At 41.8% G+C, this 14347-nt stretch overlaps 1 protein-coding gene and 1 long non-coding RNA gene across 4 annotated transcripts in view; one reads left to right on the top strand and one right to left on the bottom strand.

Annotated features, from left to right (window-relative positions):
- The window catches only part of CPA6 (carboxypeptidase A6), a 324323-nt gene that overhangs the window by 127266 nt on the left and 182710 nt on the right, over positions 1-14347 (top strand). The window lies entirely within an intron of this gene.
- LOC105375886 (uncharacterized) overlaps positions 4578-14347 on the bottom strand; it is a 58475-nt gene continuing 48705 nt past the window's right edge. Inside the window, exons 3-4 of the long non-coding RNA XR_007060953.1 lie at positions 12270-12321; positions 4578-4656 (exon numbers count right to left, since the gene is read on the bottom strand). This is a non-coding gene — a long non-coding RNA (uncharacterized LOC105375886). The remainder of the gene's footprint in view (positions 4657-12269; positions 12322-14347) is intronic.

Genomic DNA, 14347 nt, shown 5'->3' with positions numbered 1-14347 from the left:
TGAACGGAATCTGAGAAGAGACTGTCAAAGCATAGTTAATTAGACATAGAACTGCTGTTACAAAGCTGGTTACTTTCCTAATTAAATTGTATGGTTTTGCGGAAGAATTAAAACAAGAAAGTTAAACAGAAAACCATGCCCCTAGAGAACTGGATTGAGAAAGCACCAACCAATTAAATTGTTAATTAAGAGCATAACCATGATTTAAATAAAGTTATGATGGAATGGGAACAGTCTGCAGGTAAGTAAATTAAAGTCCCTACACCACATTCTGCCTACGTCTCTTTGCAAATTCTTTGTACTCTGAAGTAATAGAAATGGTTTTATGTAGGATCACAAAGTTTCCATTATACAATTGACACACTCTCGTAGAAAGAACAATTAATGGTATTTCTGTTTCCAATTTCCTCATCAGAGAGCTGTAGGATAGGAAACTGTCCTATTTGTCCAAAAGTTTGTCATTTTTTTCAAACTGAAACACAACCTCATAAATATTGGTTTGTCAGGTGTCATTAAATGACATGTCAAAAGTCATAAAATCACATGGGGAAAACTATACTTGCTAGGAGGAAGGCTTCATCTCTCTTCCCTTGCTTTGTACATGAAATGTGCTGCTGCTGTCCCTGGTGTGGCCTCCCTCCCTCACACCCCAGTACTGTGCTGTAGTTGACTGCTGTCTTCTCTAATCCTCCTTGGTGCACTACCAAGTCATACACCAGGACCTACAAGAGCTCTAGAACACCTGTGATTGTGGGAGTTTGTAAACTCAAACATCCAACTGGACAGTTTAATCAATTGGAAAACTTATGAGGAGGAAATGGGTGGTAGAATTCATGCTGTGGAAGATATTTGTTCCCAACTTAATTAGAATCTGATCGTGTGATTGTAGGATCCCTTAATCGTGGCCATGGTAGGCAGAATTCTAGGATGGCCCCCAAGACTCTTGGCCCTGGTGCACACACATCTTCTCTCCTGAAATGCTAATCTGGGCACCATTGTAAAAGGATTGCAGATGTAATTAGGGTCCCAATCAGTTAACCTCAAAATAGGGAGATTGCCAAGGTGGGTCTGATCTAATCAAGTGAGCCCTTTAAAATCGATGTTTCCTCCAGCTAGTTGCAGAAGAGGCACTCAGACTACTCACTCCTGCTAGCCTGCAAAAACAAACAGCCATGCCGTGAACTGCCCCATGGCAAGAAATTGTGGGTGGCCTCTAGCTGCTGAGAACTATCTAAAGCCTACTAAAAGGAAAATGGGGGCCTCAGTCCTACAGCCACAGGGAAATAAATTTTACCAGCAGTGAGAAGATAAGCCCAAATGAAACTACAGCCCAACTGACACCTTAATTTCAGCCCAGTGACACCCTGAGCAGAGAATCCACACCATGCCCAGACTTCTGACCTACAGAAACAACAAAATAATAAAATTGAGCTGCTAACCTTGTGGTAATTTAGCAATAAAAATCTAATACTTTAAATACCCAGTGGCTTGGTATGCTGGCTGAAGATACACAGGAGCATTATGAATGATACTTCATAAAAGGTAAAAGTGAGGAAGAGACCAAGAATTTGGCCTGTCAGTATGTTTGGGGTAGGAAGTTACATTTCTACTTTTTTGTTAAAGGCTTTGTAAAGTAATGAAAGAACACTGACTTTTGCCTTCTGTAGCATGAATTTTGAAAGAGAGAAAAAGCTGCTTATTATCCAGGCAGATGTCCAACTGCAGTCATGGGTTAAATTTCAGTAATATAATTTTCAAGCATGGCTTGCATTTATCTCCATGTGTATATTGATAATTAATAAACTCAATAACAAATACATATTAAGAGAAACAATACAGTATGTTTAAGAAAGAAATACATTAGAAACATTCTTTCAAAAGGAAAAAACCCTCTACCATGTTATGATGATGACGATCTACCCCAGTGATCCTTTATTTAATTTACTCAACTGAATTGACATGACCTTCGGCTTATGCAGTAGTATTTTAAGCTGATCGTGTTTCTTTTCTATTATAAGAATTTCTAAGTTTTGACATTTAAACAATCTGTTTTGAGACTAATTGTTAAACATTAAAAGGAATTGCTCTTGCCGGATGTAGTATTGGCCATTCCTGAGGACAGCTGAAGGTTGGGTCTAGCACAGTCTTTTATAGAAAGTAATCTCCACTGGGCTCTTTCATGTACCTGCCATCACCTGTCATTGCCTCCTTTGCATGTCTAGTGGTTGGCAGGCTCTAGGCTGGGATGACAGACAACTGGACCATGGGTCTCTCGTTGTCTAGGATAGGCTTATTTACTTGGGAGTCACAGGGTTCTAAGAGTGAGAGAGAACAAACTTACAAAATTCCTTGAACCCAAGCTTAGAGTACTCGGTAAATGTCACTTCTGCCACATTATCCTAGCCAAAGAAAGTCACAGCTCAGATTCAAGAAGTGGAAAAACAGACTCTCATGCTTAGTGAGAGAATGGTAAGGTATGTACAAGAGAGTCTGTGGTCATTTTTGTAATCCACCACATCTTCTATTCCCCACAACCCCCACAACACACACACACACACACACACACACACACACACACACACACACACACACATTCAATTTGCCACCAAATCCCAGATGGAGGATGACAGTTACCTAACTTCTCCTCTGCAGTCTTAAGGCCACTTCTATAGTTCTGGCCCTGATCATCTTTAGCCTGAACTGCACCAGCCTCCCCAGTGTCTTTTCTGCAGCCCTCACACATGGTTCCTATTTGTTCTCCATACTGTAGTCAGAGTGATCTTTCTGAAATGAAAAACTAACCAAGTCACATCTCTACTTAAAACCTTTTAAGTGTTCACCATAGTCAACAGCAGTAATTCCCAACCCAGGGTACACATAGGAAGCTTTTTATAAAAGACTGACATCTAACCCCACTGCTAGAGATTCTGACTCAGTTGCTCAGGTGAGGCTTGGTGGTTAAAATTTCTTTAAGCTCCCTAGGGGATTATGGATGTAGCCAAGGGAGTAAGCCACTGGCCTAGGGTATAGACTTCAAACTCTTTGGTGTGACCCATAGGGCCAGTCAAAATTGCACCTCCCTGCCTAACACTTCTCAGCATCTGTCACACTCCTTGGCTTAGTGCCCATCACACGAACCATACTGAACCAGTTGTAATTTCTCACCTAAGCGCCTTAGCTCAAGCTGTTCTTGTCTGGAATGCTCTCCTCTTCTTTGACCACCTAGTGAACAGCACTTATCTTTGAAACCTAGGCTAAAATACTGGATTCTCCTTGAGTTATTTGACCCTCACTGAATTCTATAGACTGTTAGACCCTAACATCTATATCCCTTTGTGCTTCCTCCATTCACCCATCCCCAGTAGGCTTTCTTACAGATTTGAAATGTCATTAATTCTCTGAATTGCATATGGTGGATATGGAGGCACTGATGGAAGAGCAAGGACTAGTGACTCTTCAGCTGGTACTGAAAGGCTTATGTGCACAGGCCACTACCTTCAGGAACACAGCCCAGCAAAAGCTTAAAAAAGACCTTTACTTTTTTGACCCACCCCTCTGGTTTTTATTTCCTTTTTTTTATGTAGGTCACCTTTTTTATTCATCCTTGCAATTTCACCTGAAAATTACAAATATTGGAGGGAATGATTTGTGCTTTGTTAAATGTGAATCTAACCATTTCCACTTTTAAAGGACATTAACATGTGATCCAAGATACAGGAATAGACAAAGTTCCTTTTTCAAGGGGCAAGGATGGCACTTCTTGGTGACTGAGAGGTTTTCTATCAAGTGTATAAACCATACTTTGGTGCCATTTCTTAGACCCACAGCTCCAAAGACAAAAGTTTAGTTGAAGATTCTTTTAATTAAAGTTGCCTATTTTCAACCATTTCATTTTTCTAGCTGTATAAATCTGCAGAGATTTCCCCTGCCTTGCTTGGTTTTAGAGGTCAATGTTGCTGAGAAGTGTGGAACCTGGACCCCACAACCCTTTTTAGAGAAGTGCACCATTGTCCTGATCACTGGTATCAGGGCACAACCTTATAAACGAGTATCGATAACCTAAAAGAATTCACTAACATCATTCGAATTTAATTATTAAATATTCAACCATGTGAGGTCTTGCACAGGGCGAATAGGGAAAGCAGTTAGCATGGTGCTTAAAAGTAAGACCCCTGGAGACATAATGTCACTGGTCAATTGTGTTCTTTGCCTACTTCACATTGGCTGCAAAGAAAGAACATCCAATTGGGAAGTCAACCAGGTTTTTATTCAGTGGCCAAAGAATGGAGAAGGGGAGCTCATGTTCCAAAGGCACCATCTTCCTGGAGGCATGGGAGTTTTAGAGAGTTGGGCACAAGCCTGGGGAAGTATGTGGGCATGTACTGGATGGAGTTGCAAACACAGGCATAGTACATGAACATGTTTCTACACACACTGCATGTAGACAAAATGGGGGCAATTTTCTCTTAGGGGAAAGATTTCTAGTATTATAATGATACGTTAATGACTTAAAGGTAACTGGAGGTCGCCTGCTCTGGTCTGCACCAGTTTCATGTGGGTCTGAACTTCCTCAGTTATTCAGCAGCGGGTCTCAAGGGGGCTACTTGTGGCATCCAGACCATCTGGTTTCTTTAAACAGCTGTGCCTATAAACAGACTTAAAAAAACAGTTAAAGTTTTCCCACTGTCAGTAGGGGCCATCCTGGTGACAATACTTCTTGGGTTCATATCCAGACTCTTCCATGTACTGATGAAAGGGAGAGTTCCCTGATCCCCCTTGCAGACCATGTGACAGTGGTGTGTCTCACCTGTTCAGTCACCCCACTGCTCAAACCCCATGTGGGATGGGGAGCATGCAGACAGGCAAGTGCAGAGGCTGGGGTGAGTGCTTTGGGCTCCAGCCCATGGTAGTGTCTAGGAGTTACAAAGCTCTTTCAGCTTTGCCATCTGCAGCTCAATGGTCCCTCTGCCTTTTCACAAGGGCAGAGGGCCAGTGACAGCTTTCTGTATCTCGAGCTCTTGCCCAGCATCCCAGAAAAATTGGGTCACACACGGGCTTGAAGGATGAATGCAAGGTTTTATTGAGTGGTGGAGGTGGCTATCCCTATCCTGGGATGGATAGGGAGCTGGAATAGGCCCGACTCCTCTCCGACGACCCACCAGCCGAACTCCTCTCAGAGTTCAGATGTTCCTCCTCGTCTCTCTCTCTCTCTGCCGCATCATTCTGCCATCTGTCTGCTGGTCTATTTCTGAAGCCTGGTGTTCAGGGTTTATATGGGTGCAGGATAGGGGGCATAGCAGGCCAAAAGGCAACTTTTTGGGCACAAAAACAGGAATGCCTGGTCTCATTTAGGGCCATGGGTATACAGGCTTGAGGGTGGGGCCTTTGCCCAGGAACTGCCCTCTTCTACCCAGGATTTCCCGGTCTCCTGTCCATATCACTAGTTGTGTGAGTGTCAGCAAGTTACCTGATTTCTCAGTGCTTCTATTTCCTGATCTGTAAAGTAGGGAACCACAGAAAGAGTCAATCATTTCCACATTTGTACTAACCTGCAGCTGGCATGTACATATATATCTCTACATACACTGTAGCAATTTGTCCACATACTGTGTCTCCCTTACCAGATTGAGAACTCCCTGAGAGAAGGATGACTTACCATTCATCTTTGGATAGGACTGATGTCTGACTCATCTTTGTTTCCCTAGTGCCTGGCAATAGTAGACAGTCAACAAATATTGCTTGAGTGAATGAGCATATGTAGTTCATTCATCCATCTATTTGCCTATAATTATAATACAAACAACACTAACTTGGATTCTCATCAGGAACATATGCATAATTTATTTTCAATCATGATAAAAAATGGTAGGTGTAAATAAAAACTGTTGTAAAATGATGGAGCAAACAGGTATCATGAAATAGGCAAGGGTATGAGGTAGGGGAAATTATCCATTTCCTCAATTACTAACGAAGTTTTATGGAGGAAGTGGGATTTCTGTAATAGCTTGATGATAAACTTCTTAGAGAACTATCTTTGAGATCTGCAGTCTTCCATTAGAGCCTCACCTAACCTTAAGATTTTTGCCTTTGGGTGTTGACTAACTCAATGAATACAGCAATGCTGATTATCAGAAACATGTGAATTTGAAAGTCAGAGCTCAGGTGCTCTGCCTTGGAGTCAATTTGTGGTTTTTGTATAATCAAAAATGTCTGTATCTCTTTAAGCCTCTGGCTTACTTGATTAGCAAACCCATTCCTTTCTAATAACCTAAAAACAGCTATTAGGGATGCATATGTGGCAATACTTTGTGCCCTAAAAAAATTCAGAGAAGCTTTTGCATATTCATCAGCCATAACCACAAAGACTTTGCTTGATTAAAGAAGTTTCCTGTTTTCTACCATTTTGTTTTCCGAGTTGTATAAATGTGGAATGATTAAAATTCCCATGGTCCCACAAATACATCTCTTAGATGTTTTGCTGATAATTGGATTTGCTTTGAGGCTATCTGATCATCAGTGTTTCTTCTGCTCTCTCAAATTCCAGTTACATTTTGAATATGGACTATGATCTGGGCTAAGAATCAGCATCATATTGAGAAAGAAGAAAGGAGAAGGTACAGAGAGCATGAAGCATAAGGGAAAAGACATTGACCCAGTACAGAGATTGTGATCTTTGGGAGTTGCATCACAAGGCTTGTTGACTCCCTTAGAGAGGTGATATTGGGAGCACAGTCAGAAGATGCCTCTGTGTTATGGGGCCACGCTGAGGCTTTTGATAATATAGATACATAGCCTTTTGAGAATATATGGAAGAAGCAACCTTTGGGCTTTCAGACAAGGAGAGAACAGGTGGGAAGATAAACAATGGAATGGCAGGATATACTTTTCTTTCCTCCTTCCCTTCTTCCATATCCCTCTCTGCCCTAAAACTTCAGCCACCATATCCAGGGCCATACTTAGACAGTCCATTCATTTTGTCCATGAATTTGTATTGTGCAACCAAGATCAGTCAAGGTCCAGTCAGGAAACAGACACACCAATAATTTGAACAGAAAATTTTTGATATAAAGTAATATTAGCTAGTAAATGACAACTAATTACTAAAAGACATAAGATAGAAAATATAAATGCAGAGAACTACTACTCTTTGGCATTAGGAAGATTGTCCAAGGAAGGGAATAAGAACTTGATGGAGCATCTTCCCCTCTATCAGAAGGGTGAGATTTAGGCCTTCTTGGAATCCATGCACCGCAAAGTGAGAAATTTGCTGTGCCGCCAGCAGGCTAGGGCTGGCCTCTTGCTTTGGTATGAGCAAAACTTGCCAGAGAGTAAGTGTCACTGGGCCTTCCACATGGCACCAGTTTCCATGTCATAGGAAAGAAAAAAGCATATGAGAACTAGGAAAAGAATTTCCTTCCTTCCCAGTGTCTTGAAAAGTCCTCTCTTGACAAAGCCTAACATTGACCAGCTATCAAAGGAGAAATATTTATGGAGTCTAGCTTGAGTTTCACAAGGCAAGACAAAAAGAGGGTAGATCTGGAATTGAGAGGCAATCTATTGGTACCTGGAATAACACCTTTGCTGGTCCAGAGATGTGGTGATTAACAAGATAAAGTAATGTTCTGCGTAATTAACAAGATAAAATAAGGTTCTCGTTGTCCCTAACCCTACCATCTAAAGTGGAATATAGAGAAGTGAAAAGGCGAGGATGGGCGTGGTGTAATCCCTCACACCTGTAATCCCAGCACTTTGGGAGGCTGAGGCAGGCAGATCACCTGAGGTCAAGTGTTTGAGACCAGCCTGGCCAACATGGCAAAACCCTGTCTCTACTAAAAATACAAAAAATTAGCAGGGCATGGTGGTGTGTGCTTGTAATCCCAGCTACTAGGGAAGCTGAGGCAGGAGAATCACTTGAACCTGGGAGGTGGAGGTTGCAGTGAGCCGGCATTGCACCACTGCACTCTAACCCAGGCGACAGAGCAATACTCCATCTCAAAAAAAAAAAAGAAGGAGTGAAAAGGCCATGGCCATGGTAGATGTTATGGGATAATATAAAATCCTTCTACCTACCAAAAAAAAAGAAGGTACTTATAATAACAATTATATACTACCATGTGCTAAATACTCTGCTAAATGGCAAATACATGTTATTTAATGTAATCCTCATAGTTTAAAGACAGGTTGGCATTATCCCAATTTATAGATTGAAAAAAATTAAACAACTCTGTTTTTCCACTCTGCAGAAGACTTTTCCAATTTGAGTTCCTTTCTAACATGACTTAGCAAGAAGTCTCACCTGAAATCTTTATCAAGCTCAAAAAAAAAGGTTTTTGTTGAGATTATTTGGTGGCCAGCTGATAGTGAGAAAGGACACTGGACATGTACATGTGCTGAGGAAGGGAGCCTGGATGGGGAAGCTGGAACTTCGCCATAGACAAACATGGTTCCCTTCACAGTGTTATCTGAAAATGGCATGGCCCTGGGAAGTCAGTCATCTCTCCTGTCACCTCCAGCAACCTGCTTAGCTTTCTTATTTCTGCCTTGACTAATAATGTGTTTAAGTAATCTAAGCATGTTTCATCTTAGTATATTTAGATAATTGACAGCAAATATTAAAAAGTCATAGAATAATGTGAATAACTGAGGAGGTGCTGAGAGACTTGGGGGGAAATGGTAACAATGAGTATGGTATTTTTTTTCTCTCTTTTTTTTTTCTCAAAGAGAAAAAGAGTCTCGGCCTGTCACCCAAGCTGGAGTCTGGAATGCAGTGGTGCAATCACAGTTCATTGCAGCCTCTGACTCCTGGGCTCAAGCAATCCTTCTGAATAGCTGGAACTACAGGGGCATACCACTATGCCCAGATAAATTTCTAAAAAGTTTTTTGTAGAGTCAGAGTCTTTCCATGTTGCCCAGGTTGGTCTCGAACTTCTGGGCTCAAGCAATCCTCCTGCCTCAGCCTCCTGAAGCACTGGGATTACAGGTGTGAGCCACTGTGACTGGCCTAACTATGGTTTTTTGGTTTTTGGGGGGTTTTTGTTTTGTTTTGTTTTGTTTTGTTTTGTTTTGTTTTGTTGAGACGGAGTCTCGCTCTGTCACCCAGGCTGGAATGCAGTGGCACAATGTTGGCTCACTGCAACCTCCACCTCCCAGGTTCAAGCGATTCTCCTGTCACAGCCTCCCAAGTAGCTGGGATTACAGGCACAAGCCACCATGCCCAGCTAAGTTTTGTATTTTTAGTAAAGAAGGGGTTTCACCATATTGACCATGTTGGTCTCGAACTCCTGACCTCAAGTGATCCACCTGCCTTGGCCTCCCAAAGTGCTGGGATTACAGGCATGAGCCACCGTGCCCGACCAGTATTTCTATTTTAACAAATCTAAGACTGACTCTACATATCACAGATCTAATTGTTTATCATATGTATTTGAAAATACTGGGGAGAACAATTGATAGATTATAAATAAAACACAACATTGTTTCTGGAATAGCAAAATCTCTCGGGGTTACCTAATTTCTTTCAGGAACATAAGAGCCCTTATGAATCAGGAGACCACTTGGACAAGGTTGGTCAAGAAAAATGATATATATTCAACGTTGACTTTCACAGGACATAGGATATTGCTTAGCATAATTTATTATTTAATAACTTGTACAAATAAGATCTATATCACACAACCATAAGTGAATTCAGTTTCAGGTCAGGAATATAAGAAACATGAGCCATAAAAGTTAATTCTCCTACCAGTAATATTTAGCCTCTTTTTCATCATCAAATCCTTGAATAATGTTCTCTACAGGAGATCCATGAAGTGGGAAGGTGGCATCAATGGATATTAAGAGAGTAGTTATTTGAGGGTGTTGTAATCAGGATTCCAGGTAACTTTAATAAAACAGTAGAAGGTTCAGAAACACAGAAAATAAGGTTCTCTCAAGGACAGATGCAAAGTGATGCTTGCAAACATTTAGACTACAAGCCTCACAGAAGGGAAGAATCAAAGGACGTTGTGCAATGTGAGTCTAGGATGAACAGATACCATAGAGTGACACATGTACAAGCTGGCATACCCATTGGGATGGGAGGACTCTGGGCTTTCAGAGCTTCTTCAAATGGTCTTTGTATGGCAGACTATAAGTAACTCAACAAAATTCTGTCTTCTCCTCCACATGGGTGCTGTATTTCACAACCTTCCCTACAATTAGTTAAGTGTGGCCATACAACTGATCATGACCAGTGGAACTGAGATGGGAGAATTGCCTTGGCCCCTTCATGGGACTCCTCACAAAGGGGGTGGCTCATTTACTCAGCCACCATGCACTCAAACCCCTTACAGGAAGGAGAGAATGCAGGTGAGCTGGGGTGAGCGCTGTTGGGCTCCGGCCCCATGGCAGCATCTAGGGGTATTACAGTGTTCCTTTAGCTTTGCCATCCATGGATGGCTAAGTGTTAACCAACTCAGTGGAGAGTCAGGGTGACAGCTTTTTATACCCCGCCCTCTTGGTACCTGGGTCCTTGCCCAGCATCCAGGAAGAATCAGGTCACACAGACTTGAAGGATGGTGAATGCAGGAATTGAATTGAGTGATGGAGGTGGCTCTCAGCAAGATGGATGGGGAGCTGGAAAGTGAACGGAGCGGGAAGATGATCTTCCCCTGGAGTTTGGCCATCCTGTGGCCAATCTCCTCTATGACCATTCCCCAGTCGAACTCCTCTCGATGTTCAGATGTTCCTCTTCTTTTCTTCTCTGCCATGTGGCTCTGCTGCTCTTCTGCTCATGGAGCCTGGGGTTTGGGCTTTATATGGACACAGGATAGGGGGACATGGTGGGCCAAAAGGCAATATTTCGGCATGAAAACAGGAATGCCTGTTCTCATTTAGGGCCGTGGGTCCAGGCTTGAGGGTAGAGCCCTTGCCAGGGACCCTACTCTCCTGCCTCCTGTCTGTATCAGAATGTACACAAAAGTGATGTGGGCTTTTTCTCAGCTGAAACTTTAAAGAATGAAAGTTCTTCCTCCATTCCTTCCTTCCTCTTCTGCAGCCTGGATAACAGTAAAAACAGGACCCAAGAAGATGAAAGAGCCAGACATGGAAAATTTCTGGATCCTCAAATCACTCCATAGAGGAAAGCTGCCCACTCACAAGAAATAACCACCTTTGTCTGTTATGTGACCAAGAAATAAATGTCTCTTATATTTCAGTCATTATATTGTTTTTGAGCATCACCACAACTAGTAGAGAAAATGGTACATTGAAATAGAGTGCTATCTTAACAAATGAAAATAGTGTATAGCCTGAGCTTAGCAATTGGGCAGTAGACAAAGGAACATAGATATCACAATGTGGAAAGAAAGATACCAGTGTGATGTAGTGACGAAACATTTGATAAAACTATCAGTTGAACTTGGAAGATAAGGCAAGTGTCTATTGACCCTATAGCTCTAAGGAAAGTAGTTGGAAATACCTGGGATGTTAGTGTATCTTGGTCCTTCTCACTTGTAGAAAGGTATTACAATAAATAGCTGAAGTCAAGAAGAAATAGACAGGTTTACAAGCAGAAATAAAAAGGAATCTGGGGTCTGAAAGGACAGGAAAATCAGGCTGATTCTAGATCCCAAACACACACAAAAAAAGACTAAAGATGGTTTCAAGCAAAGAAGACCCGTTAAGATTTCTCAGGTTTGCAAAGTAGCTTAGATTAAGGGAGTTACTTTTCTACCTTTCCACCCCGCCTACTCTTTCAGATGCCCTCAAAGTAGCTTCCATTAAGTTGAAGAGAGGTGGAAAGGCATGGGGGCCAGGAAGCAAAATAATAACAAGAAGAAGAAAGAAGAAAGGAGGAGGAGGAGAAGAAGAAGAAGAAGAAGAAGAAGAAGAAGAAGAAGAAGAAGAAGAAGAAGAAGAAGAAGAAGAAGAAGAAGAAGAAGAAGAGGAAGAAGAAGAAGAGGAGGGGGGGGAGGAGGGGGAGGAGGAGGAGGAGGAGGAGGAGGAGGAAAGAAGAAGAAGAAGAAGAGGAAGAAGAAGAAGACAGATTTGAGAGTTACATCTAGGAAAGAACTTAGAGTGTGGTTACTTAATGAAACTTCCTAGGAGAAAATAAACCAGAAGCCCATATAGTTTCTGCGACATGACCCACAATATCACAGACCTGACCAAAATATAAAATAAAATAAAATTTTGCAAGATAGAGCATTATACAACTATCAGGACCTCAAACCTGAACAAACCAGAAGTTGACTGCAAAAGTTGCTTGCCTCCAAGGAGTGCATACTCACCAATATCCACTTTAGATGTGGCCAGGAAGAATAATGGGCAAAGGAGAACCTCCTAGAGAAAACCAGAGAACGGGACAGTTAGTTCCAGAGATATCAGAGAGCAGATGCTGGGTCCAACCAAGGACCTTTCTCCACCACCAAAGCAGGGAGTCTTTGTCATGCCCGCAGAGACAGGTGTCATCATGACCTGAGTCTGTGATCGCACACCTCTGCATTCCTCCTGTTCCAAAAGGGAGATGTTATTGTGGATATCCTGTCTCTGCTGGGCACCATAAATGGTAAAAGGGAGGCTGCAGGGGGCAGGTAATCTGCTTTTTAGTTTGTATGTCTTAGAGCATAAAGAGCCATACCTGGACCTATTGGAGAAAACTGCTTCTGAAGAGACTTTGGGTGGTCCTCTCAAGCAGATATATAGTGAGTAAAAGAGCATAGTGACTAGTCATCAAAAATGGAATTCTTTTTTTTAATTTAATTTTTTTATTATTATTATACTTTTTAGGGTATATGTTTTAGGGCACATGTGCACAATGTGCAGGTTTGTTACATATGTATACATGTGCCATGCTGATGTGCTGCACCCATTAACTCATCACTTAGCATTAGGTATATCTCCTAATGCTATCCCTCCCCCCTCCCCCACCCCAAAACAGTCCCCAGAGTGTGATGTTCCCCTTCCTGTGTCCATGTGTTTTCATTGTTCAATTCCCACCTATGAGTGAGAACATGCGGTGTTTGTTTTTTTGTCCTTGAAATTGGAAATCATCATTCTCAGTAAACTATCGCAAAGACAAAAATTGAATTCTTCTGGGCCCATATTCCATAGCCTTTTTACAGGTAGGAGTGACCCTGTGTATAACAGACAGCCAGTGGAGAGGAAGCAGAAGTGATGAGTTCCCCCTATGGTCCAAGGCTTTGTAACCCTCCTTCCTATCCATTGGCTGTGCATGACTATGACAAAGCCTTAGGGTATAGTGGATCTGTAAACTGAACAAGGCCTGGTCTTCAAATCACCACATGGTGCAAAATCATTCACCAGCAAGGAATATTTGCCTCAGAAACGAGGGAAAACTATTGAGTTTGAGCCGATGTACATTCTGGTCTATCTGTTGCCACAGCTGGTGTTACTTTAATAGAACCAGTATCTCTAAAACTGACCCTTTCTCTGGGACTTCTAGCCATAAGCCTTGTGGATCCACTGACTATCACAGATCACTAGGTCCCCACATCCATGGGATCCATATTCACATATTCAAACAACCATGGATGGAAAACATGCAAAAAAAAAAAAAAAAAAGCAATACAATAATACAAAAATACAAATTTTTAAAATATAACAGCTATATAACATTTACATTGTATTAGGCATTATAAGTAATCTAGAGTTGTTTTAAGGTATACAGGAGAATGTGTGTAGGTTATATGCAAATACCAGGGCATTTTATATCAGGAACTTGAGCATCTGCAAATTTTGGTATCCATGGGGGCCCTAGAACCAATTAATCCCCATTCAATACCAAGGGATGAATGTAGTTTATATTTTAGAAAATCTAACACAGACTGAGAACTTAACAAGCATACTCATTCCACAAACAGATCTAAATGGAATACTCTATGTTGGGCATTGGATGAATCACACATGGTATTGTGAGGACACAACCATGAGTAGAAACTGGACTTCAGACAAGGAGCTCAGAGAGAGTTATTAGGTCATCCAGAGCAAAAAAAGAAAAAGAAAAAAAAAAAAACGTGGCTGGGCACAGTGGCTCATGGCTGTAATCCCAACAGTTTTGGAGGCCAAGGCATGTGGATCACCTGAGGTCAGGAGATCAAGAGCAGCCTGGCCAACATGGTGAAACCCCATCTCTACTAAAAATACAAAAAAAAATTAGGCATGGTGACAGGTGCCTGTAGTCCCAGCTACTTGGGAGGCTGAGGCGGGAAAATCGCTTGAACCCGGGAGGTGGAGGTTGCAGTGAGCTGAGACCGCACCATTGCACTCCAGCCCGGGTAAAAAGAATGAAACTCAATCTCAAAAAACAAACAAACAAAACGCAAAGTTGATAGAACCTCCACAGATT

Source organism: Homo sapiens, chromosome 8, assembly GCF_000001405.40.
Source record: "Homo sapiens chromosome 8, GRCh38.p14 Primary Assembly".
In the NCBI taxonomy this organism is placed as follows: domain Eukaryota; kingdom Metazoa; phylum Chordata; class Mammalia; order Primates; family Hominidae; genus Homo; species Homo sapiens.
This window is presented reverse-complemented; position numbering and strand designations above follow the sequence as displayed.